The sequence below is a fragment of the Homo sapiens genome, chromosome 14 (assembly GCF_000001405.40).
Source record: "Homo sapiens chromosome 14, GRCh38.p14 Primary Assembly".
In the NCBI taxonomy this organism is placed as follows: domain Eukaryota; kingdom Metazoa; phylum Chordata; class Mammalia; order Primates; family Hominidae; genus Homo; species Homo sapiens.
In genome coordinates, this window is record NC_000014.9 from 49,985,582 (window position 1) to 50,007,759 (window position 22,178).

Below are 22,178 nucleotides of genomic sequence, written 5' to 3' on the forward strand. Positions count from 1 at the left end.
CTTGAGGTTGAGCTGTGGTCTTTTCTTAAGACAATTATTATAGTCAAGTGACAGACCTGGTGTATTGAAATATTTTCTGTTAAATGTTACCTTTCTTTGAGTGCAACCAACACATTTGAAAAGAGAGACCTTTCATGAACACTTGGTCAGCAAATATATATATATATATAAATTAATTACACATATATATATTTCTATATATATATAGAAATGTGTGAGCATGGAGAAATGTCTCCCAACAATATCCTTCTCAGGGATTTTTGTCTATGTATTACTGGCTGGGACTATAGCATATGGCCACCTCTCACTGCAAGGGAGGTTATGAAATGGAGTATTTTTGCTCGGGCACATTGCTGCTCTAAATAAAACTGTGGTTCTGTTAGTAAGGAGGGACAAGCAAAGGATGGAGTTTCAGGAGAGCAAGGCAAAAACCCTGCCCAAGGGTTTTTATCTAATGTGTGGCCAACATCTTTTTCTCATGGTACAATGAATATTATGGCACCTTATTTACTGAGCCTTATAGAAATAATCTGTACAACTTAGACATAAGAAAATGTGAGCTTTTAGTCCGAATCAAGTATTGTTTTACCAATTTCAAATGAGCGATTGGTAGTTTCGTGCAGAATTTTAACGTCATGGCTGCATAATGTCTAAGTGTACAAGCCCATAATTCCTTAGAACTATTTTCACTTTTAAAAAATTCATATCAGTTATTTTTACAGACCATATTTTGGGGGTGAAAATTATTAAAAATTCTCTTAATTCAAGAAAAACTCTGTGTCATGAATTTCCCCCAGTCTTTGAGTATCTATAGCTTAAAGAACATGTTCTACTTTGTGAACAGATAGGTGTTTGGTAAGAGGTATATAAATATACTTTTTCTGGTTTCATTTATTTTAAGATAATTTTTTTTCACCTCATGACAGTCATTTGGGGCTGACAATGTTACCATGGTAACCATGTTCCAAAATTCTGGTTGCTAGTGAATATTGATCCTTAGCACTTCAACACCCTTCATTCACTACAATGTTCACTTCTCTACGTGAAGGAGGCTCTGCTCAGAGAGCACATTTAGGTCAAGGAGTCCTGGCTTGGTAGCGGCTAGGTACTCCAGAATAAATCTACAGGATTTTCCTCCCAGGAACCCCATCTAAAGATCCCATTGAGAATCTGACTCAACCCACAACATTCTGGCTTACATTTTCACTGAAACAGATAGGAGCAAAACTTCTTTGTTTCCTTTTCAGCTGCATCGCGAGAGCTCAGAAGCTCAGTCAATGCAAAACAGAAGGCACTGAGGGAAAATTTCAGATGAGAATGGACGTACCCTCTCCAGAGGCAAAGAAGTTTGCAAATTACTTTTTGAAGCCCTCTCTATATAATTTTGAGGTTAAAAATGCTTTCCTCCTGCGAAGGAGAGATTTTAATCTGGATTGTATGCTGGAGCTCAATGATTGATCCAAATCAGAGTCCAGAGGCCTCATGGGAATGATGATCGTCAGGGCTACAGTGGGGCAACTGCAGATGGAGCTTGCCCCTCTCCTCCATAAATGGGGAAGAGCCTCTCACCTCCAGTGAGGTTTTGTGCATAAGAAAGGGGAGGCTTGTTAGAGACAGCAGCTTTGAAAACTTAATTCTCCTTGCCAAGAACTAATGGACTATCTTCAATGTGCATGAAAATGTGTCTGCACAGTGACCAGAGAAGCCAAAATGAGGCCTCTGCAGACCTAATTTGGCATCAATTTATCTCCATATGAGAAAGTCTGGTTGTACTTATTTTACTCTCTGCTCTAACCAAGAAAAAAACAAAAACCCGGCAAAGGTTCATTGAGACAACAGTCGGTCACTAAAAAGGAATTTGAACCAGTCGGTCACAGAAAAGGAATTTGAACGAAGATAACGTAGTTACATTTTACCCACATGTTCCTGAGGCCAGTGTGCTAATAGTTAACAAATGCTATTTAGCCCATCACCATTAGATTAACATTTAACCAAATCAGCATAGACTTTGTGTGACTAAAAGAATCTACAAACACACACACACACACACACACACACACACACACATCTTTTTTTTTTTTTTTTGAGACGGAATCTCGCTCTGTTGCCCAGGCTGCAGTGCAGTGGCACAATCTCGGCTCACTGCAACCTCCATCTCCCAGGTTCAAGTAATTCTACTGCCTCAGCCTTCTGAGTAGCTGGCATTATAGATGTACGCCACCATGCCTGGTTAATTTTTGTATCTTTAGTAGAGATGGGGTTTCACCAAGTTGGCCAGGCTGGTCTCAGAACTCCTGACCTCAAGTGATCTGCCCGCCTAGGCCTCCCAAAGTGCTGGGATTACAGGCGTGAGCCACCACACCCAGTCACAGATATCTTTTGATATCTCAAGAACTATGGACGGAATTAAAGAATTCCAAGACCAATTAAAGAATTTCAAGTGAGACAATTCATTTTCTTATGATCTTGGTCCTGTGTTTGGAGAGGCAAATGTGTGTTTTAGTGAAATGTAAATCCAGGGAGAAGGTGCAGTAGAAGAAACTGCTCACCTGTCCTTGTAGCTATAGCTAACCTTTATGGAGCTCTATCAGCTAGGCAGTATTTACTCATCAGTTCTGGGAGGTGAATGCTGTTATAATCTCCATTTTCCAAATGTGACAACAGAGACACAGAGAAGTTAAGTGACTTGCCCAACATCAAACAGCTAGTTTTACAGGACCATGCTCCTTGTATAAGTTGTTACACATGGTCCCCCTAGCTTTGTGGCTCACGATCCTGTGTGCAGAATGCTATTGTGGAAAGCAGGGAGAAAATCAAGCTGCGGTATACTGGGAGAGAAAGAACAAAGGAAAGCTCTTAAGGCGACAACAAGGACAATGTCTCCAAGGACAGTGCAATTTCCCATCAGTGAGGTACTGGTCAGGCTCCCCAGCCTCAGAGGCCCATCCAGGGTTTCTTCGCTGCCAGAGTCATGCTGTTCAACTGCTCGTAGGGGTGCTTCAGCCCTGGAAAGGAGTCCAGGCGGTAGGGCTGCCAGAGACCTGGCTGGTCTATCCAAAGACAAAGGAGGATGCCATTCCTCTGTAAGTTCTCTTTCAAATGACCTTTCTGAGATAGATCCTGTTTGCTTTAGTGTCTGCCCTCCTCAGTACATCCTCCCCGGCTCCAAAAAGACACATCCCTTGATATTCATCCAGTTCTCCCAATGGCCTTGGATGCTTGTGACTGTGCTTCTCAGGGGAATGGAGTCATTCCTAGTGCTGGGTTTCTGGAAGGATCTTATCAGAGTGAATGTAGTGTGACGTTTGGATACAGATTGGCTTATTAGCAAAAGCACCTTTTAACACTGATGCTGCCCGTTTTCCCTGGAAAATGAGCCTCTGTTTAATCCAAATAATATATGGAGAATGTTCAGAACTGTGATGTTACCATCTGTTGCTGGAAATTGAAAAGCAGAGAGGAAATATGCTAATACCTCTCTTTGGAATTTCTTCACCTGCCCTCTCAGTATAGTAACAGTCTGTTAGGTCTCAAACCTTTGCACCATTTATCATTAGGCCATAAGATAATGAATGCCTCTGGCCCTAAAATGTGCATCATTACAATCATTTGGTTTAAAAATATATGAGTATCTCTAATAAAAGGGATGATTATATCAATTTTAAAAACTTAAAAATCCAACGGCAAGTCCTCTTGGTTAAACCCGTAATATCAGGTCTCATAGTTTTATGTTTTATTTATTTATTTTTTTGAGATGGAGTCTCACTCTGTCACCCAGGCTGGAGTGCAGTGGTGTGATCTCGGCTCACTGCCACCTCCGCCTCCTGGGTTCAAGTGATTCTCCTGACTCAGCCTCCCGATTAGCTGGGATTACAGGTGTGTGCCACCACACCAGGCTAATTTTTTGTATTTTTAGTAGAGATGGAGTTTTGCCATGTTGGCCAGGCTGGCCTTGAATTCCTGACCTCAAGTGATCTGCCTTCCTTGGCCTCCCAAAGTGCTGTGATTACAGGCATGAGCCATGTGCCTGGCCAGGTTTAGTTTTAAGCTAATGATTTAAAGTATAATTTAGTTGTTCCTCTGAAGATTATAACTTTAAAAAAAGTCACATTTGGAGATAATTGTTCACATTTGCCTGAGGATGTTTCTATTTGAAAATGCATAATAGAATGTAAAATTATGATTTATAATAGCTTTCAGTTTATAATTAAAATCAAAATGGGAACATTCAAGTAAATGAAACAACTAGATATTTCTAAAAGGTATTCTTTATATGAAGATTCAAGGTAACATGTTTTGTTAGCATTCTTCCACATTGATTTAAATTGGTTTTTTTGCTTTTATGCAGGTGAGGTGGGGAGGAGCAGATGTTTTGCCTCTAGTGAGACAATAATTTACTTCCCTATTATTGTTTGACTTTGCCTTGTTTCTGCCTATGAATTACTAACAGAGGCTTGCAGCACTATCTATGGGGCCTGAAACATACAATAAGGGGCCAGAAGGCCTTGAGAGAGCTGAAAAAGAAATCATCACCCTAGCCTCACCCAGTCACCTGTCTCCAGGCAAAATAATTCCCTGTCCTTCATGATGATTCGGAGAAGACCAGCCCCACTCAGCTGCTGTTGCCAACCAACCATAGTTCTTGTTACCCTGGGCCACAAGTGCCTTATCCACTAGATTGAGAAAGTTAATGCCAGAGGGAAGTGAGAAACTAACTATGGAAGAGTGGACCCATGTTGCAAAAACAAAGTTCTAGGGAAAGACGTGAACAAAGATGGGTGAGTATGAATGGGGTCTGACTGGAACATGGCAGAGAAGAAATTCAACTATGCAATGAGATAAAGCAAAGATTCTAATGAAAGACTGATGTGGTCATAAACAAACAAACAAACAAACAAAAAACAGGTGCCCAATGAATACTTCTAACTGAAAAAAAATCTGAAGATGCTGGTCAGAGGATCCTCAGGAGGGAAAAAACCTGACTTTCCTTGGTAAGGGCCTGTGGAGCAAGTAATTGCAGCTTGAACCATGGGGTCTCCTTGGAGCTGCGGGCACCAAGCATCAGATCTGAACACAGAAGCTGGGCCAGTTTGTTAAGTAGGGTGCGGCAGAGACTGTTAGTTGCCTATCCAATATCCAGTCTCCTCTTTTTCCTTGGTCACATAACCCAGATTTTAATCTGGGTGGCAGTGTGCTCAGCTGAAAGACTACACTTGGAAGCCACATTTGCAGCCTGAGGGCCAGTGAGACATAAGCAGAAGTTGTTGGGTAGTCTTCTGTGGACTCCTTAAGAGGGAATAGACTACTCACAGACTCCTTTTTCTCCTTCTCCCTTCCTTCCATGCCTTTCTGGAACAGGAAGTTTAACATGATGATTGGCGCTCTAGCTGTCACATTGGACCATGAAGTTATGTTGTTTTTTTTTTTAATTAATTTTTAGTTTTATTTCAGTGGTTTTGGGGGTATAGGTGGTTTTTGATTCCACGGATAGGTTCTTTGGTGGTGATTTCTGAGATTTTAGAGCAGTGTACACTGTACCCAATATGTAGTCTCTTATCCCTCACCCCTCCCAACTTCTCCCCACACCGAGTCCCCAAAGTCCGCTATGTCATTCTTATACCTTTGCATCCTCATAGCTTAGGAAGTGATCTTGAAGATGAAAGCCATATTCTAAGGATGGCAGGACGAAAAGATAAAACTTTGATGATGCTGTATCTCCCATACCAGCCAGACTCCAGCCTTCTTTTATATGAGAGAGAAATAAGCTTCTATGTTGTTGAAAACACTGTTACTTCTTCATTCACCCAGGACATCACAAGCTTAGTGATCTTGGAAAGGCTTTGACAGAGGAGTGAAAAACTGGCGTGTTTTGGTTTGTTTATTTGTTTCAGTTAAATAAACTGTAAGACAAAGGTGATTTAAAATGACAAAATATAGTCTCTGAGCTCAGTCATAAAAAGGAATCAAGGGATTATGTAATTGTATTATGTATTTATTTGGTCTAAACAAAAAAGAGCTTTATTCTCTCATGTAAGTGAGTAGTCCGGAGGTCACGTGGGCTTCAGATAAGGCCTCATGAACAGCTGGACGAGACAATGAAGACCCAGTGTCTTTCTGTCTCTTCTTAGTCTCCATGGTGACGGCTTTATTCTTGGGCTGTCTTGCCAGATGATCACAAGATGGCTGCCAGACACAACCTGAGTTATGGATGTCCTCATTCACATTTCCTCAGAGAAAGGAAACTTCTTTCCCAGAAGCCCCTGGCAAAGTCACCTTGCATTGGCCTGCATTGGGTGACTATCCCTAAGCCAATCTCTGGAGCTAGGATGATAGGGGTCACTGGTTGGTTTAAACCTCCCAAGGTCTACCCAGAGAATTGCAATGATGTTAATCCCTGCCAACAGCATGGCTAGGAAGTATGGGACCCTGTTAGGAAAGAGAAAAGAAGAAAAATGCCTGTGGGGAGGCCACCCTATGCCCTATATTTTTCCTCGTCATCCTCACCAGGTAGTGTTATTTAAAGGACTTTAATATTTTAAAAGGCAAATTGCTCCCAAAAGGTCTATTGCCCTCAAATTTCATTTTCAGTAGCCTGAAACCCAGTATTAGACTTATTGATTTGGGGTAAGGCGCGGGATTTCCTGAAAAACCTTTGCTTCATTCATTCAACTTACCTCATTCATTAATTCCTCGGTAGACATTTCTTGGGTGCTGGTTATGTGTCATACACTCTGCAGGTCTTGCCTGAGAGGATAAACACATCATAAGCCATTAGGATCGGTGGCACTAGCACATGGGGCACTTGTACTCTTTATGAAGGTCGGGAAGCAAGTAGGAGGGCACGGGAGACAGGACAGGTAAGTTTTGATCGTGAGGAGGGAAGAGGCCTAGGAGTTGGGCATAGGGTGATGCCCAGAGAGACTGCACCTGCATGAGTCCCTCAGTGAGGACCCGGGGTGGGCTCTTAGTTCTTTGAAACTCAGAAAGGGAGACTGCTGTGAGGGCTGCATTTGGGGACTTGAAGCAGTGCCTGTTTTGCCGTCTTATGAGGGCAGGCTTTGTAATTGGGGTTTCCAGTCCCCCAGTTAGGAAGTCTCTGGGGGAAAGATGACTAGAGTCTGTGGTTCTTGATTTGGGCTTGGAGAGGATTTGGGGGTAAGATGCTAGGAAATGAGAGTGAAATCTCTGAAACTTACAGGAAGAATCTTCCCCAGTCCAGCTTGTCTGCTGCTCTCCTGACGCTGGAACAGCTTCTCAGGAGTTTTCCATTTTTCATGGCACAATTCTTTCTCCTGCAAGGATAAGAGAATAAGAGCTTCATAACCCAAATAGTTCACAGCGTGGTATTCGCCTCTATTTAAAATCATCTCCCATTGGGTTCAATTAACAATGTACATGTCAAATTATGTCACACCCATTACTTGCTCTAATTTGGTCAGGCTGGGTCAGGCAGTCCCTGAACTGATGGAGCTGTTAACCTCCCAGCAGAGAGTCACGGTGGCTGTGCCTGCACTGCCCTTGGCCTTGGCTGTGTCAGGGCAGAACACTGTACTGGGAAAGTACCAGGCAGTGCTGCAGGAAAGGTCAAGTTCGTGACGACAGTGACCAGTCATCAAGCCCTTTACCAGAGCTTTGCCTCTAGAGATGACTATGTGAATTGAATCGTGGCTCTGTCATTTAGCAGCTGTGTGATCTTGGGCACGTGAACTTTTCTGAGCCTCATTTTCCACATCTGTAAAATGAGACTATTATAACACTTCATTTATATTTATACTTTTAATTATATTGATATTTATTTCACTAGGGTTGTAGTGAGGATTAAATGCCATAATGCATGTAAAGTGTTTTGCATAATGCCTGGCACTTAGGATTAACTCAATACCAGCTATTTAGTAGTAGTATTTAATTTTTAAAAAATCTTGTTTGGTCCCTCAAAACTGGGATTCCTTCTGAGATCACATTCAGGAAATATTTCATCAGCCCTCAAGAAACTCGGAGAAGACAGGCAGTCTTTCCTGGAACGGGTAGAGGGGAACCAAAGGATCTGCAATGGTACCTAGACATCAGGATTATTAATATGTGTGCCAAGAGCAACCCTGACTTTAAGAACACCTCTGTGTGGGCACAGAAAGCTTCTTTTTCTGCCTTGGGGTTTCACAGGTCAATCAATCTGTGTGGTCAATCTTTGTGCGGTCAATCTGCAGAGCCCCAAGGGAGAAGGTAGAAGGGTGCTGGGCACTCTCTCCATTTTAAGTAGAGGTAAACTGGCTGGGCGTGGTGGCTCACGCCTGTAATCCCAGTACTTTGGGAGGCCAAGATGGGCGGATCATGAGGTCAGGAGATCGAGACCATCCTGGCTAATACGGTGAAACCCCGTCTCTACTAAAAATACAAAAAAATTAGGTGGGCGTACTGGTGGGTGCCTGTAGTCCCAGCTACTCAGGAGGCTGAGGCAGGAGAATGGTGTGAACCCGGGAGGCGGAGCTTGCAGTGAGCCGAGATCGCGCCACTGCACTCCAGCCTGGGTGACAGAGCGAGACTCCGTCTCAAAATAAATAAATAAATAAATAGAGGTAAACTGAGGCACAGAGAAGTCTCCACACACATGTACAGTACTTTTCATCCCCTCTCAAAAAACAAGGGAAACTGTACTAATTGTAGAGCTAGAGGCAGAATCTCTTGCCCAGAGAGACTTGAGACTGAGGCCAATATTGGGGAAAATTACCTTGGTTTACTTTACAAGCACAAAGGCTATGCTTCTTACCCTCTCTCCACATCCAAAAATCTCTGGGGTACATCGGCAGCCTCCTTTATGGTACATCCAGGAGATAGATAGTGTGTTGTGGAAAAAGCCCTGGGTTGTAGTCAAGAAACTTGTCCTGTAATCCCAGTCCTGCGAAACCAGCGATGTGGCCTTGGAAATGTCACTGAACATAGTACTGTACTTGAGAAACTGAATGGAAGGGTTTGGGCTACACCAATGGTTCCCAAACCTGGCTGCTCATGAGAATCTATGTGTGTGCATATGTGCATGTGTGCGTGTGTGTGTGCTGGGGCAGGGGTAGCTGGAGCCTAGGAATCTGTATGTTGTTTTTTGTTTGTTTTTTGAGACAGAGTCTCACTCTGTCACCCAGGCTGGAGTGCAGTGGCACAATCTTGACTCACTGCAACCTCCGCCTCCTAGGTTCAATTGATTCTCCCACCTCAGCGTCCCAAGTAGCTGGGATTACAGGTGTGAGCCACCACGCCTGGCTGGAATCTGTACTTTGGAAATGTTTACATGATTATCAAGAGCAGTCACTGTTGGGGACCCTGGGAGCAGATGCTTTCTAGAGTGTCTTGCTAGGCTCTAACATTTTCTGACTCCAAAGCCTCTTTCAGCACATTCCACACAATTCAGTCCAAAGGCGATGTCAGCCCTCACAGTCAGCTCCCATGAGCAAATCAGTGTGTGATTCCGCATGTACCAGGCTGTCTGTGTGCTCGGGCCCTGGGTCCTGTCTGTTTCTTGGTTAATTTGGCATTGAAGCCTGCATCTTGGGCTCACCTGGGGCCAGTAGCGCCTGGACCCTGACTTGCTCCAGAGGGGCCTTCTTGCCATTGTGCTGTGGTCTAGAACACCAGCTGCACCTGCCCTGAGTCCAAGAGCAGATTAGGAAACCTGACCAGCCTCCCCTGCACCCTTGAGGCCAGCGTCCTTCACAGGAGTTTTGAATTCACAGAAATGTGTCTCCAGCTGTCTCAGAGTTATGAAAAGTCTCTGTGTTAATAAGGAGCTATGGAACGCCAGGGCTAAAGCTGTCTTTAACTCTTCTTTCAAAACATTCAATCCTGACATTCTTTGGCTTAGTAAATGGGGAGGAGGCTTTTGCATTTGTGTGGGGGCGAAGGAAGGCATAAACTGCGGCTCCCAGGGCTGACTTCTGTCCAGGAAACACAGGTCTAGACGTCCTCTGAGTGGCAGAGAGAACAGGAGAGTGGGACTCTGTGGTGGGAGTGACACTGTGGCCCCTCGCCTGCAGGACACTCCAAGCAAGTGGGGTGGGGCTGCATGGGTGAGTGTTGGGGTGCAGTGAGCAGAGGAGGGGGTGCTGTGTGCTCACCCACCATGTGCTCTTGCCCACTACTGTTGGGTAGGACCACAATCTAGTGTTGCCAAACACGGTGAAACTTGTGATTCTTGGAAGAAATCAGGAATCTCAATTTTACATGAATTTTCCCAGTTTCAAAATGATGACACATTTAATTTTTACAATTCCTTAGGCCGGGCATGGTGGCTCATGCCTGTAATCCCAACACTGGGAGGCTGAGATGAGAGGATCACTTAAAACCAGGAGTTCAAGACCAGCCTGGGCAACATAGCAAAACCCCATCTCTATTTAAAAAAACCCAAATCATTAAAAAAAATTCCTCAGACCAAGCAAATTGCACCTTCAGGCTATAGTCTGGGTAGAGTCCTGGCTGCAGGACTGGTCTGGGTGTGCTCTAATATTCTGCCCCCAAATAGGCAGAACCCCAAAGGAGGTCCTTACATCTTAAGAGACCAAATCCATCTTACACTTGGTGACATCCTTTGTTGGAGGGAGAAGGAAGGCTCTGGCTCTCTAAAGCCTTAGGAATCTACTTTCTCTGCCACTGTATAACAGCCTACTACTGCGCTGTGGATCAGCAGTCCTCACCTTCCTTCTCCCTCTGTCTGTCCCTTGCTCCCAATAAGCCCTGATGACAGAGAGCTCAGATAGGGCCCTCTCCCTGGCTCTACTCAGGTGTGTAGCCAGGCTATAAGCTCTCACACTGTCTCCTTTCCCATTCTAGAAACAAATTTAAACCCAAGTAACAGAGAGGTACCCTGTAACATGAATCACTTTGAGCTATAATTTAGTTTTTAAAGGTAAATAATTTTTTTGAGACATGGTCTCACTCTGTTGCCCAGGCTGGAGTACAGTGGTGCAATCATGGCTCACCACAGCCTCTACCTCCCGAGGTCAAGGGATCCTCCCACCTCAGCCTCCAGAGCAGGTGGGACTATTAGCATGCGCCACCAACTCCAGTTAATTTTTGTATTTTTTGTAGAGACAGGGTTTTGCTATGTTGCCCAGGCTGCTCTTGAACTCCTGGGCTCAAACGATCTACCATCCTCAGCCTCCCAAAGTGTTGAGATTACAGGCATGAGCCACTGTGCCTACCAGGCCAAAGGTAAATAATGTGTGTAGTTTGATACTGTATCAGAAACTATTTGTGACACATGTCATAGCAAATGTGTGGTGACAACGGAATTTCTATATAGGAAACTCTTGGGAGTGGCATTTTGTTTGGGAGCAAGGAATGGTTAAAATACTTTATGTAAAGCTACATTGTATATTTGTTGTATATTAAACTCTCTTTTTATTTATATTGCACTTTTTTTTTTGAGACCGAGTCTCACTGTATCACCCAGGCTGGAGTGCAGTGGCCCGATCTCGGCTCACTGCAACCTCTGTCTCCTGGGTTCAAGCAATTCTCCTGCCTCAGCCTCCTGAGTAGCTGGGACTATAGGCCTGCACCACTACACCTGGCTAATTTTTGTATTTTTAGTAGAGACAGGTTTTCACCACGTTGGCCAGGGTGGTCTCGAACTCCTGAGCTCAGGTGACCTGCCCACCTCAGCCTCCCAAAGTGCTGGGATTATAGGTGTGAACACTGTGCCCAGCCTAAATTGCACTTCTATTTTAAAAACAAAGTTGTGATGGCTAATTTTATGTGTCAACCTGACTGGCCACAGGGCGCCCAGGTGACACCTTGTTTCTGGGTATGTCTGGGAGGATGTCTCCAGATGGAATCAGCGTTTGTACAGGTGGACACAGTAAAGTCGCTTGCCTTCCCCAATGTGAGTGGGCATCATCCAGTCCGTTGGGGGCCTGAATAAAACAAAAGGCAGAGGAAGGAGGAATTTGCCCCTTTTTTCCAGCCTCACTGCTTGACCTGGGACATTTTATGTGGTGAGCCATGATTGCAGCACTGAACTCCAGCCCTCCACTGAGATCTCATCCATCAGCTCCCCTGGTTCCCAGGCTTTCCAACTTGGGTCGTATTATATCACTAACTTTCCTGGGTCTCCAGCTTGTAGATGGCAGATCATAGGACTTCTCCACCTCTATGACCCCATGAGCCAATTCCTCATAATAAATTTCCTTTTATTTACATACACACACACACACCACACACACACACCTCCTACTAGTTCTGCTTGTCCGAAGAACCCTAATACACAAAGAAAACCTCCAGGAGCCACGCCTTGATGCTGCCTCTGTGACTGGTCAGGACACATGCAAGGATAAGGAGGTATGTAGAGACCACTTTGCTCCAGATGGGGAGGAAAATGGTCGAAAGAAGTCCCAGAACAACCCAGGGAAAGTGTAGACCCTACTGCTCAGGCAAAAATTCAATTTTGAGGGTGAGAATTTTCAGCCTGGTTCCTGAAAGTGTCCTAGACAAGGAAGATGCATTCTCACCACCACGCTGGGCCATTCTGGATAAAACCAAACCTGCTTCTTGGCAAAGGTCAGTGGTAATGTCAGTAGCGTCTCAGACACCTGCCCATGGATGCCTTCTGCCAGGCAGCCAGATGGCTCATTACGACCCACATGTAGCTCTCTAGGCCCAGTGCCCTGGCTTGGTGGCAGCAGATGGCCTGGGGGACAGGGGCTTGGTCTCATTGCTCAGAGTGTTCTCAGAGACCGTCTTGGGATTAGCAAACTCAGGGGATACCAAGGAAGATTTCCTTAGACCTGGGTGGACCCAACTTAGAGTTTACTTCTAAGTAACTAGTTCTAAACTCTAGAAAAGTAGAATAAAATGAAATATACTTATTACTTGCCAGGAAGTGGTTGAATTCTTGCTGTTACTATAATGCTACTATTTGGTATTATTTCAAGTAAGTAATCAGAGGGTTTCAATATTTAAAAATAAATAATGGCTGGGCGTGGTGGCTCACCCCTGTAATCCTAGCATTTTGGGAGGCTGAGGCGGGCAGATCATGAGGTCAGGAGATCGAGATTATCCTGGCTAACACAGTGAAGACCCCGTCTCTACTAAAAATACAAAAAACTAGCTGGGCGTGGTGGCGGGTGCCTGTAATCACAGCTACTCGGGAGGCTGAGGCAGAAGAATCGCTTGAACCCAGGAGGCAGAGGTTGCAGTGAGCTGAGATCACACCACTGCACTCCAGCCTGGGCAACAGAGTGAGACTTCGTCTCAAAAATAAAATAAAATAAAATAATAAAACAAAATAAAAATAAATAAATATACAAGAAAACCACTGACCCTTCACTAAATTGGTAGTTGTCATCACACTTAATCACTGCCTTGCCGGCAATATCATTCCCTTCTGGAAAACCTGTCATCAGCAGCTGGCAGGAACTCACACCGTTCTTAAATTTATCTGTTAATAGATGGTTTGACTGCAACTTTTTTTTTTCTTAACTTTTAAGCAGTAGCAATTCAACACTGAAAAGGAATGTGATGTTTATTGCTGTTTTCCCCCAGGAACAAAGAAATCTGGCAGGACACACACAGGTACAGCATGGACCTGCTTTCGGAGTTATGCATAATGATTTTTTAAGTTGGAGTGTGTTTGGATGAGGAGGGACAAGAAAACTGCTTCTGCAGGGGAGGTGGTCCCCACTGCAGCTTCATCTGTCCCTAGGCCACCTCCCTGCAGCCACCCCAGGCAGTCGTGCAGGACGTCATGTCCTGGCTGCTTTCCTCTGAGTCACAGAGCTCGCCACAGCACTTCTTCCTCCGCCTCTTACAGGCCTGGCCAGCCAGGAAGTCACAACCACAGCTAAGAGGTTCTGTGCTGAGCATCTACAGTAGCCCCCAAGTGAGGCCAGAGGTAGATGGTAATGGGTCTGAGGCTTGGGGCCATTTCACAGGACAATCATCTCTATACTTTTCATTTTGGTTTTAGAACTCTGTGGGATTTCTTTATCTCAAATGCCCTTATCAGTCTGCAGATCTCCTGAAGGCTCATCTGGTTTGCTAGGTCTTAGTCTGCTCAATACAGATGATAAGATAGTGGGTGAAACAAGAGGTTTGGTAACATAAGTTCCTGATGACATGAGTTGTACACAGTATATGTGCAATTTCTCAACACATGTTTGGCCTAAACACTTGCAAATACACCATCCTGAGCTAAGAGAGTGACTTTCTTTGATTTTTTTTTTCTTTAAGCAATGACACTAATCCAACAACAATCATTGGAGAATGCCTACTATTTTCCAGGCATTCTCACAAGACCACCAGATTCAATGTGAGAGATCCCCTGCCCTCTAGAGTTTTACAGGTTAATGGAAAGGGGTTTTTACCAAGAAGCGCAAATCCAAATTACTCGTTTCTTATGTTAGCAACTTCACCCTCAGGAGTAAGCAGCAGCAGCAGCCAAGGGGCACACAGAGCCACAGGCTAAACACGGTCCACAGCTTCCTGAAATCAAAGGGCTTCAAAGATTTGGAAGACACATTTCTTTTGATTTTTAAAGCAACCACACACCTATTCTGGAATAGTGTACAAAAATCACATAGGCCATCCCGACTCCTAACTGAATCCCCTCTTCCACCGTCAGAGGACGAGGGCACTTTTTGGCATGATGGAGAGAAGCGAGGGGGCAGGGGTGGCCAGAGAGACGGCTGGAGTGGAGGCGGGGGCACCAGCGTGGGGTGAAGGCAGAGGCACCACGGGAATGTAAATTGCAGGACGCATCCTGAGGCAGTGAGTGTTCGGGGCATTCTTGTGGGTGGTCACTTGGGCCCTAGATTAAAGGCAGAAACACAGAAATGCCTTGGGGGACGTTGTAAACTTCAACAGCTCTATCTGTTGTTTCAGGAATGAGGGAGAAACATTCACCAGAAGCTTCAGACTGGGAGGAGACAGAGTCTTTGAGGCAACCCAGGGGCTTCTTAGCTGCAGCTGTGTCTGCTTTGAAGTTCAGTCCACTCTCCCCAGGAAGCCAAGAGGCTCTCAAGTGCTTGCAGCAGAGAAGTTTCATAGAACAGAAAGAGCAGACAGAGGCACGCTGCGCCCTCCAGCACGGCTGCCTGGCAGGAAGCTTTGCTGAGTAACTTTGGTTTTAGTTGGAAACCTTCTGTCATGTTCCTGTCGGGGCAGTGTGGGGAGTGTGGGCTGCACTGTGGCGGGTGGGTTAGATTTCCTCCTTCCATGCAGTGGACAGGGATGTGGGATGGGGGCACGAAGCCATGGACAAGTGGATAACTGACCTTGAGAAGATGTAGAGGTCACCACAGAGGGTTTCCAACTCACGAAAGCATTTCTGCTATGGGAAGGACAAGGGACGCTGGCCTATGGAACAGGCCACCGGAGATTCCAGAGCAGAGCCCTGCCCAGGCCTCCAGACTTGTGGCTTTAATTATCCAGTTAGTCATAGGTTTACTGTCATCCAAGTTTAAGAAGCTTGACTGTGACCCATGTGCAAAAAAAGGTTGTTCAGGCTTTTTTTTTTTTTTTAAAGCCACTCTGGGCTGTTCAGCAGGCTGAGACAGGATCCCCAGAGCCCACCAGCCCTGCAGAAGTGGGGACTGCCTACCTGCACTTTTCTTTCTTAGGCACTTTTATCTTGAACACAGAGCCTCAGGCATTGGCCAGTCCGGTTAGTCTGGAAAAACTTGAGAGCCAACAGTTTATTTCTGCTCTGAGGGCAGTTTCACTAGCACAGAGCACATGGCGAGCAGAGCCCAGATTACAAGGCTGGGCGGGGCGGGGCGGGGGCGGGGGCGGGGGCGGGGGTGCAGGTGAGGTGCTTCGGCTCTGACGGGCGCTGGGCTGCTCACCCAGTTTTACATGGGAAGTGGTAGGGCCCTGTCTCCCCTGGCCCCTGCCCATGCCCCGGGAGAAATGGGTATGTTTGGGTGGTACCTTCCTGCATGGGCAGAGGCAGGTGATTGTATCGCCAGCCCTGGAGCTCAGCGTGCACAGCTTGGGCTTCCATTTGGAGGAACCTGATCCTTGGACTTGAACACTCTGCTCTTTGTGTTTTGCACAACAGGAGAGTCCTGCTCCTCGCTTAGCTCAGCACAGCGAGTCCCCTGGCTTCAGCTTCCCTCCTGAGCACCTGACGGTTGTCGGTTTACTGTGACTCACTGCCATTCTATCTGCCTGGGCTTATGTTTCCAGCATCTCACCAGAGCTGTTGTGACCCATCTCCTGGGCAAAGCCTTCCACGGAGAGGCTGCCGGGCCAGCAGGAGAGGAGACCCAATCCATCCATCAGCATTTGAATAATTCCATCCACACATACTTCTCTTCCAAACACCCGGGCTATTTTCCTTTCCCTGAGCCATGCAAGCCCAAGGAGCCAGCAGGGTTGCGTGCTCTCAGGAGTAGGACACGTCACATCAACTTGAGTGCTCCAGGAGCCCTGCCACAATGGTTTCTTTGTGAGATCATCTTTGCAGCGGTTTCCTGAAGCTCTGGCCTCCTTCCTGGTATCTTCACACATTCTAGGTGTTTCAATTCAGTAAAAACATAAGGGCCTTTTGACTGCTCACTCCTGCACTTCACACTGGGAAGGACACAGAAGTCCCCAGAGAGTGCCCTGGACGACAAAATGTAGTTCAGAGGTATCTAAGGTGGGTTCCACCCAAAAGGGTCCCACAAAGAAAGAATTCCAGGGCCAATTAAATTTGGGGATCTGCATAGTCCATCTCTCTCTTGGTGATTCAAAACATATATTTATATATATTAAAGGTTCTGAGAAGTCCTGTAAGTAAATCCTGTTCCACTTTTTAACCCACCATCTCCCAAACCCAGCATGATACTGATATCAGCATGCTACTCTTTTCATATAACACCTACTTATATATGAAGGAACTAATTGAGGTCTTTTGAGATATATTTTAGGAAATGATCTAACAGTGGTTTTTAACCTAAGGAAACACCTCACTAGAGAGTGCTTGGGCACAGGAGGTGGCATTTTGGGTTGTCACAAAGATGGGGAGGTGCTACTTGCATTTCATACATAGGGGTTGTGGGGGCAGGGGCAGCTAGTGCTGTTACAGTGATGATGCAATGCGGCCCCGTCCCAAGTGGGGTGGGGGGCACTGTCCTGCCCTAAATGCCCACAACTCTCCCCACGCCGCTCTCCCACCCCATTGAGAAGCAGTGGTTGGACCTACGCTCAGCATTGTGCTCCCAGGCCCTCTCTGCGGGTTCAAACGCCTCTTGATGTCCTCTTGGTCTCTGCCTCCTTGCTTCCTCTAGTTGGGATGCCTGCACGCTGGAGAGAGTTGGGTCTTTTGTGGCTTTTGTGGCTCTGGTCCCAGTAGGAGATGACAGACACAACCAGAGGGCAGGATTCCCTCGTTCCACGGTTCCATCTACTCTGGAGGCGAAAAAGGGGTGTGTGAAGTGGTCCCTGGGAATAAAGAGAAAGCTGCTCACCTTTCTGAAAAACTTTTCACCTCTCAGGGAAAGGGGACCTGAGAGAAGCCTAAGAGAAAACTCCTGATGCTTAGCCAACTCCTTGAGAAGGAAAGTGAGAATGGAGGCTGAAGCCCCTTCCATCCTTCCTGGTAAAGCAGCGGAGACGCCAACACCCACGATCTGCAACTCAAAGTCAAGGGATTCCGTGTCCCTGCTTGTGTCAACATAGAAAACGCCCATGGCAACGGGCAAGTGCGGCCTGAAATGGCAGAGTGTGTGTTTCACAAAACAGGGGTGGCTCACGGCTGCAGCCGCCCGGGGAGGTCCTGGCCTTGCCTTCGAGGGGCTGGTCCTCGGGGGGTGGATGCAGCTTTGCGGGGCTGGCTCCACGTCGCGCCGCGGCGGTTTGGGCTGGGGAGCAGCCCTGCAGGGAGGCGCCGCCGGGTGGGCCGCGGAGATAGCTGCAGGGCGGGGCCCCCGGGGGCGCGGGGACGCCCAGCGGCCGGATATCAGCTGCCACGCCCGCGTGGGCGGAGAAAAGAGCAATTTGACTTTGGACGGAGAGCTGAGATGCGGGGAGGAAATCCACCACCGGCCTCTGGCGACTCCTGTCCTGCGCGCAGGGGAGGCAGCGCAGCCCGTGAACACCCCCGAGCCCGGTGCGGGCCGAGCAGTTCTCCGCACCTCCGGTAAAGGTGCAGGACCGGGTGATGGTCTCTGCAGCAGTCAGAAGGCTCCTCTCCCAGCCCAGGAACGTCTGCAATAAATTGCTTCCATGTGCGGGCTTCCCGCTTCCTCTTTCTCTCTCAGGGTTAATGTGGGAAAAGGGAAGTGGCTTTTTTTTTTTTATTTTGAAAATTAGCTTTAGGGCAAAGTCCTGCCAAGTGTGTAGTTCAATACCCCATATTATAGGTGAGGACACTGAGCTCCAGAGAGATCAGATTCCAGGTCACACTGCTGGTGCGCCGCCAAACCAGGTGGAGAACGCTGGTGCCTCCGCTCCTTGGGCATTTTGACTCCGGCATTCATGATTGTTTTCCCTTCTTTAATACCCACTACAGCAAAAATTTTGTTGCTGTTTCCCTCTGTTAAGAATTATTAAAACTTGGAGGAGGGGAAGCAAAAAGTTCTTTCAATATTAAATTAAAGCACTGTCTAACGAGCCCATCTGAGAGTCATTTGGCTATCTAGGGGAAGGTAGCTTTGACTTATTTTTTACTATAAAATAGAGTCCAAACGTTCTTAACTCTGAAATTAGTTAGGCCAGGAGCCCCGGCTCATGCCTGTAACCCTAGTACTTTGGAGGCCAAGATGGAAGGATTGCTTGAGGCCAGGAGTTCAAGACTAGTGTGAGCAACATAGCAAGAGTCCCATTATCGATTTTAAAAAATAAAATAACATGAGATAGTACTGTGTAGAAACTATTAAAATGTAAGTGCTGTCTGGGTACGGGAGCTCACGCCTATAATCCCAGCACTTTGAGAGGCTGAGGTGGGCTTGAGCTCAAGAGTTTGAGACCAGCCTGTGCAACATGGCGGCAAAACCCCTTCTCTACAAAAAATACAAAAATTAGCTGGGCATGGTGGTGTGTGCCTGTAGTCCCAGCTACTCTGGAGGCTGAGGTGGGAGGATGGCTTGAGCCTAGGAGGTGGAGGTTGCAGTAAACCAAGATCATGCTACTGCACGCCAGCCTGGGGGACAGAGCCAGATACTGTCTCAAAAAAAAAAAAAAAAAAAAAAAAGTAAGTGTTTTTCTGTTCTACAGAGATGCAAATGATTCCTATCTGGTCAGATAAATTACCTCAAAGGTTATAGTTTTGCTGCCCTGTAGCACATTAGCCAGTTTAGTATCTAACTTTGTGATCTTACGTCAGCATTCCTTTTCGTTCTCTGAGTACACAAAATCTTTATTCTCGTAATATCTTTGAACCAGTGTTGCCACCTTGCAAAGTCCCTTATGAATGAGTTACCTACCTCACCGATACATACTCACCATATCTTGTCAAGGCTTCATATTCCTTTCCCTGTATAGTCCCCACAAATATACACTGTCAGCTTTCAATGCACACCAAGCGCCCATTATTGATTCTTTGTCCCGAGTGGCTCCTCTGGAGCATATGCGTAACATCAGGGGGACATAGGGCTTTTAATTGTCAAAAGTATACAAACTCAGCACGTTATTCCAAATAATCTCTGCCCCTGCTCCCTCACATTTTGATCATGCCGTATCTGTGATCTGGGGCTGGGGACTCTGGCCCTCAAGATGCCTCCAATGCTCTCGGCCCCTGCTAAGAGCCTCTGCCCACACACGGGGTCATGCGCATAACCTTAGAACTCTGGGCACGGCTAGATGAACTGTGGCACGCACCTGATCTAGGCAGCAGCCCACTTCCCAGTTGGTCAGCCAGTGAAGGAAGGCTCAGCCCCACCAGGCCAGTGAGATTCTCCGTCTTGGCAAATTGCTTAAAGACTTGATAGTAAAGGAGAAAGAGATAAAGCAGGCACCTGAGGCCCCGAAGCAGCAGACACTTAAATAAGCAGCAGGAAGAAGGTCCTGGCAGAGACAGAACACCTGAGTTTTCCACATGGCACACGGACCTTGGAGGCACAGAGGGATGGGCCCCGCTACTGAGTGGCAAGAAGACGAAATGTCTGTGTCGTAGAACTGTGTGTGATCTTGAAAGACCTCTCGGTTCGTGAATGGCATCTTGGGTTCTGTCAGGCTCCACACAGGTTCTACTGCTCCTCTTCCTCCAACAGGCTGAGCTGTGTGACTTTTCCAGGGTTGCCATCCGACCTGTCATTTGGTCTGTGGCCCTTAGTTTCTTATCCACATGTGGCTGTAAAAGAAACTCCACAATCCTGGAGGGAACTCAGTGGGTCCCTACTTCCAATCCAAAAACCTCGACTCACTCTTTTACTTTTTCTAATAACTTAATAAGTTAAATAATAATAAAAGAATTGTTACCGTTGTTCAGCCAACTCTTTCCGGGCTCATCAACGATTTTCTAGGAAAGAAGGTTTCCTTGGTTAGACCTGCACTTCCTCTCTGTCTCTCTCCATTCATGTTTGAGCATTCATTCATTCTCCCCACAAGCACATCATGGATTCTAAAATGAAGAAGGCAATATTCGTACTTTGAAGATGCTCACATCTTGCATGTGCAGTGTTACAAGAGTGGGGTTGGTGCAGGAGTGAAATGGGAGGCCGTGTCCCGAGATGGGGTCACCAGAACCTGGAGTGACAAGGTGGAGGTGGGGAGAGGAGCTTTTCCTCCTGGCTTTCCCACAAACACTGACTTCCATGCCTCTGGCCTGGAACCACATGTAACCAAAGCCATATGTTCAACTTGCGTTAATTAAATGGTGGCCTCAGCAACATTTCTGGTGCTGCTTCTGTTGCTTTGGCATTATGATGTCTTCAATATTTGTTACTGTGTGTCGTTTGTCATGTTTAACCCAGTGGCTCAGATTCTATTTGTTTGTAAAACTTAAATGTTGAGAGACTTCTGTTCTTGATTTTTTAGAAAATAAAAATTATTTTTGGTTTATTCCATGAGAACATATCTTCTATAGGTTGAACCTCCAAGGTTCTTCCTTCTTGATTTTTCTGGGAGATGACTGTAATTTTTTTTTTTTTTTGAGACGGAGTTTCGTTGCTGTTGCCCAGGCTGCTGGAGTGCAATGGTGCAATCTCAGCTCACCGCAACCTCCGCCTCCCGGGTTCAAGGAATTCTCCTGCCTCAGCCTCCCAAGTAGCCGGGACTACAAATGCGTGCCACCACGCCCAGCTAATTTTTGTATTTTTAGTAGAGATGGGGTTTCACCATGTTGGTTAAGCTGGTCTTGATCCACCTGCCTCAGCCTCCCAAAGTGCTGAGATTATAGGCGTAAGCCACTGTGCCTGGTGTAATCTTAACTGCTTTTTAGGAAATGGTGTAAGAAAAGGCTGTGCCATAAACTCAAAATCCTACTAATCCCCAGTTCTCAGCCCCAAACCGAAGAAAGATTACATTTCCAGTCCAGTTTCTAATCCCAAGTATCCATGCACCCAGGATGGCGGGAAAAGGGAAAAGGCGGTACCTTAAATGAGGGAAGGACATCTCAGTCTTGGCCAGTTCTTACTCTTCCCAGGGGCCACCCTCAAGCCCCACCCTGAGCAGGTAAGTGAGGCAGGCAGGCAGCCTGGGAGCATGTGTGGGAGGGAATCCAACGGTGTTCTCCAGGCTGCAAGAGCTGGGCAGACACAATCGTGCTGCAGCCCTGGCCTGTGTTTTTCTTTCCCACAAAGACCAACACCGGTGCTGCTGACATCATGACAGGTTTGATCATTTTTATTTTGCGGTGAGCGTGGTGTCATGGTGATGAAGAGTCCTGTGAGCTTGTGCAGGTCCCCTCAACTGCAGGCTGTCCAGGCTTCCTCCTCTACAGTAAAGACAAGGAGAATGGCTGCTTCCTAAGGTGATGGCGAGGTAGGATGAGGAGTGTAAACGGCCCACCCTGCTCCCAGTGGTAACTATGGGTATGATTTCCTTTTGGGAGAAGACAGAGATTGCCCTTCTGATCCTCCCAGCTGTAAATTTGGGCTGGGGCAACTTTTAGACACAAACAGGGCACTCCTGGCTACAGGGCCTCAATGTTTTCCTTGAGGTGGAGTATCTAGGCATTTCCCTGAGGTTTCTGATGCCTGGGCAGGGTGGGGTGGGGTGTGGCTGGTTCTGACAGCTGTTCCCCACCCAGCTTTGTGCCCTGGGGAGGGAGATCT

At 46.5% G+C, this 22,178-nt stretch overlaps 3 long non-coding RNA genes across 9 annotated transcripts in view, besides 8 other annotated features; 1 reads left to right on the plus strand and 2 right to left on the minus strand.

Moving 5' to 3' along the window:
* LOC105370485 (uncharacterized) overlaps positions 1-5,932 on the plus strand; it is a 19,875-nt gene extending 13,943 nt beyond the window's left edge. For 2 of the 3 annotated variants that reach the window (XR_007064159.1, XR_943841.3), the window contains exons 3-4: positions 1,248-3,083; positions 4,349-5,932. This is a non-coding gene — a long non-coding RNA (uncharacterized LOC105370485). Of the gene's footprint in view, positions 1-1,247 lie in introns of all 3 variants that reach the window. The other variant, XR_007064157.1, reaches the window with a different exon arrangement.
* LINC01588 (long intergenic non-protein coding RNA 1588) overlaps positions 1-21,939 on the minus strand; it is a 25,852-nt gene extending 3,913 nt beyond the window's left edge. Inside the window, exons 1-5 of one of the 5 annotated variants that reach the window (NR_126496.1) lie at positions 17,168-20,938; positions 14,346-14,477; positions 7,197-7,292; positions 6,675-6,744; positions 5,418-6,183 (exon numbers count right to left, since the gene is read on the minus strand). This is a non-coding gene — a long non-coding RNA (long intergenic non-protein coding RNA 1588). Of the gene's footprint in view, positions 1-5,417; positions 6,427-6,674; positions 6,745-7,196; positions 7,293-7,421; positions 7,554-13,486; positions 16,493-17,167 lie in introns of those variants that run through there. The other 4 variants (NR_126499.1, NR_126498.1, NR_126497.1 and 1 more) reach the window with 4 other exon arrangements.
* Positions 14,522-15,169: an enhancer, noted in NCBI's record as "OCT4-NANOG-H3K27ac-H3K4me1 hESC enhancer chr14:50466821-50467468 (GRCh37/hg19 assembly coordinates)". NCBI's record gives its function as "activates a minimal SCP1, AML or CMV promoter by ChIP-STARR-seq in naive and primed H9 embryonic stem cells {active_cell/tissue: H9 hESC(naive and primed)}" and the evidence as "EXISTENCE:reporter gene assay evidence [ECO:0000049][PMID:30033119]".
* Positions 15,156-15,205: an enhancer, noted in NCBI's record as "active region_8334". NCBI's record gives its function as "activates an Ori minimal core promoter by ATAC-STARR-seq in GM12878 lymphoblastoid cells {active_cell/tissue: GM12878}" and the evidence as "EXISTENCE:reporter gene assay evidence [ECO:0000049][PMID:35858748]".
* Positions 15,686-15,815: a silencer, noted in NCBI's record as "silent region_5714". NCBI's record gives its function as "represses an Ori minimal core promoter by ATAC-STARR-seq in GM12878 lymphoblastoid cells {active_cell/tissue: GM12878}" and the evidence as "EXISTENCE:reporter gene assay evidence [ECO:0000049][PMID:35858748]".
* Positions 16,186-16,235: an enhancer, noted in NCBI's record as "active region_8335". NCBI's record gives its function as "activates an Ori minimal core promoter by ATAC-STARR-seq in GM12878 lymphoblastoid cells {active_cell/tissue: GM12878}" and the evidence as "EXISTENCE:reporter gene assay evidence [ECO:0000049][PMID:35858748]".
* Positions 16,246-16,455: an enhancer, noted in NCBI's record as "active region_8336". NCBI's record gives its function as "activates an Ori minimal core promoter by ATAC-STARR-seq in GM12878 lymphoblastoid cells {active_cell/tissue: GM12878}" and the evidence as "EXISTENCE:reporter gene assay evidence [ECO:0000049][PMID:35858748]".
* Positions 17,517-18,030: a silencer, noted in NCBI's record as "fragment chr14:50469816-50470329 (GRCh37/hg19 assembly coordinates)". NCBI's record gives its function as "represses an EF-1alpha promoter that drives an FKBP-Casp9 reporter gene in an ReSE screen in HepG2 liver carcinoma cells {active_cell/tissue: HepG2}" and the evidence as "EXISTENCE:reporter gene assay evidence [ECO:0000049][PMID:32094911]".
* Positions 17,517-18,075: a biological region, named in NCBI's record as "ReSE screen-validated silencer GRCh37_chr14:50469816-50470329".
* Positions 17,716-18,075: a silencer, noted in NCBI's record as "silent region_5715". NCBI's record gives its function as "represses an Ori minimal core promoter by ATAC-STARR-seq in GM12878 lymphoblastoid cells {active_cell/tissue: GM12878}" and the evidence as "EXISTENCE:reporter gene assay evidence [ECO:0000049][PMID:35858748]".
* Positions 21,732-22,178, minus strand: part of LINC01599 (long intergenic non-protein coding RNA 1599) — a 97,731-nt gene continuing 97,284 nt past the window's right edge. Inside the window, exon 9 of the long non-coding RNA NR_131171.1 lies at positions 21,732-21,838. This is a non-coding gene — a long non-coding RNA (long intergenic non-protein coding RNA 1599). The remainder of the gene's footprint in view (positions 21,839-22,178) is intronic.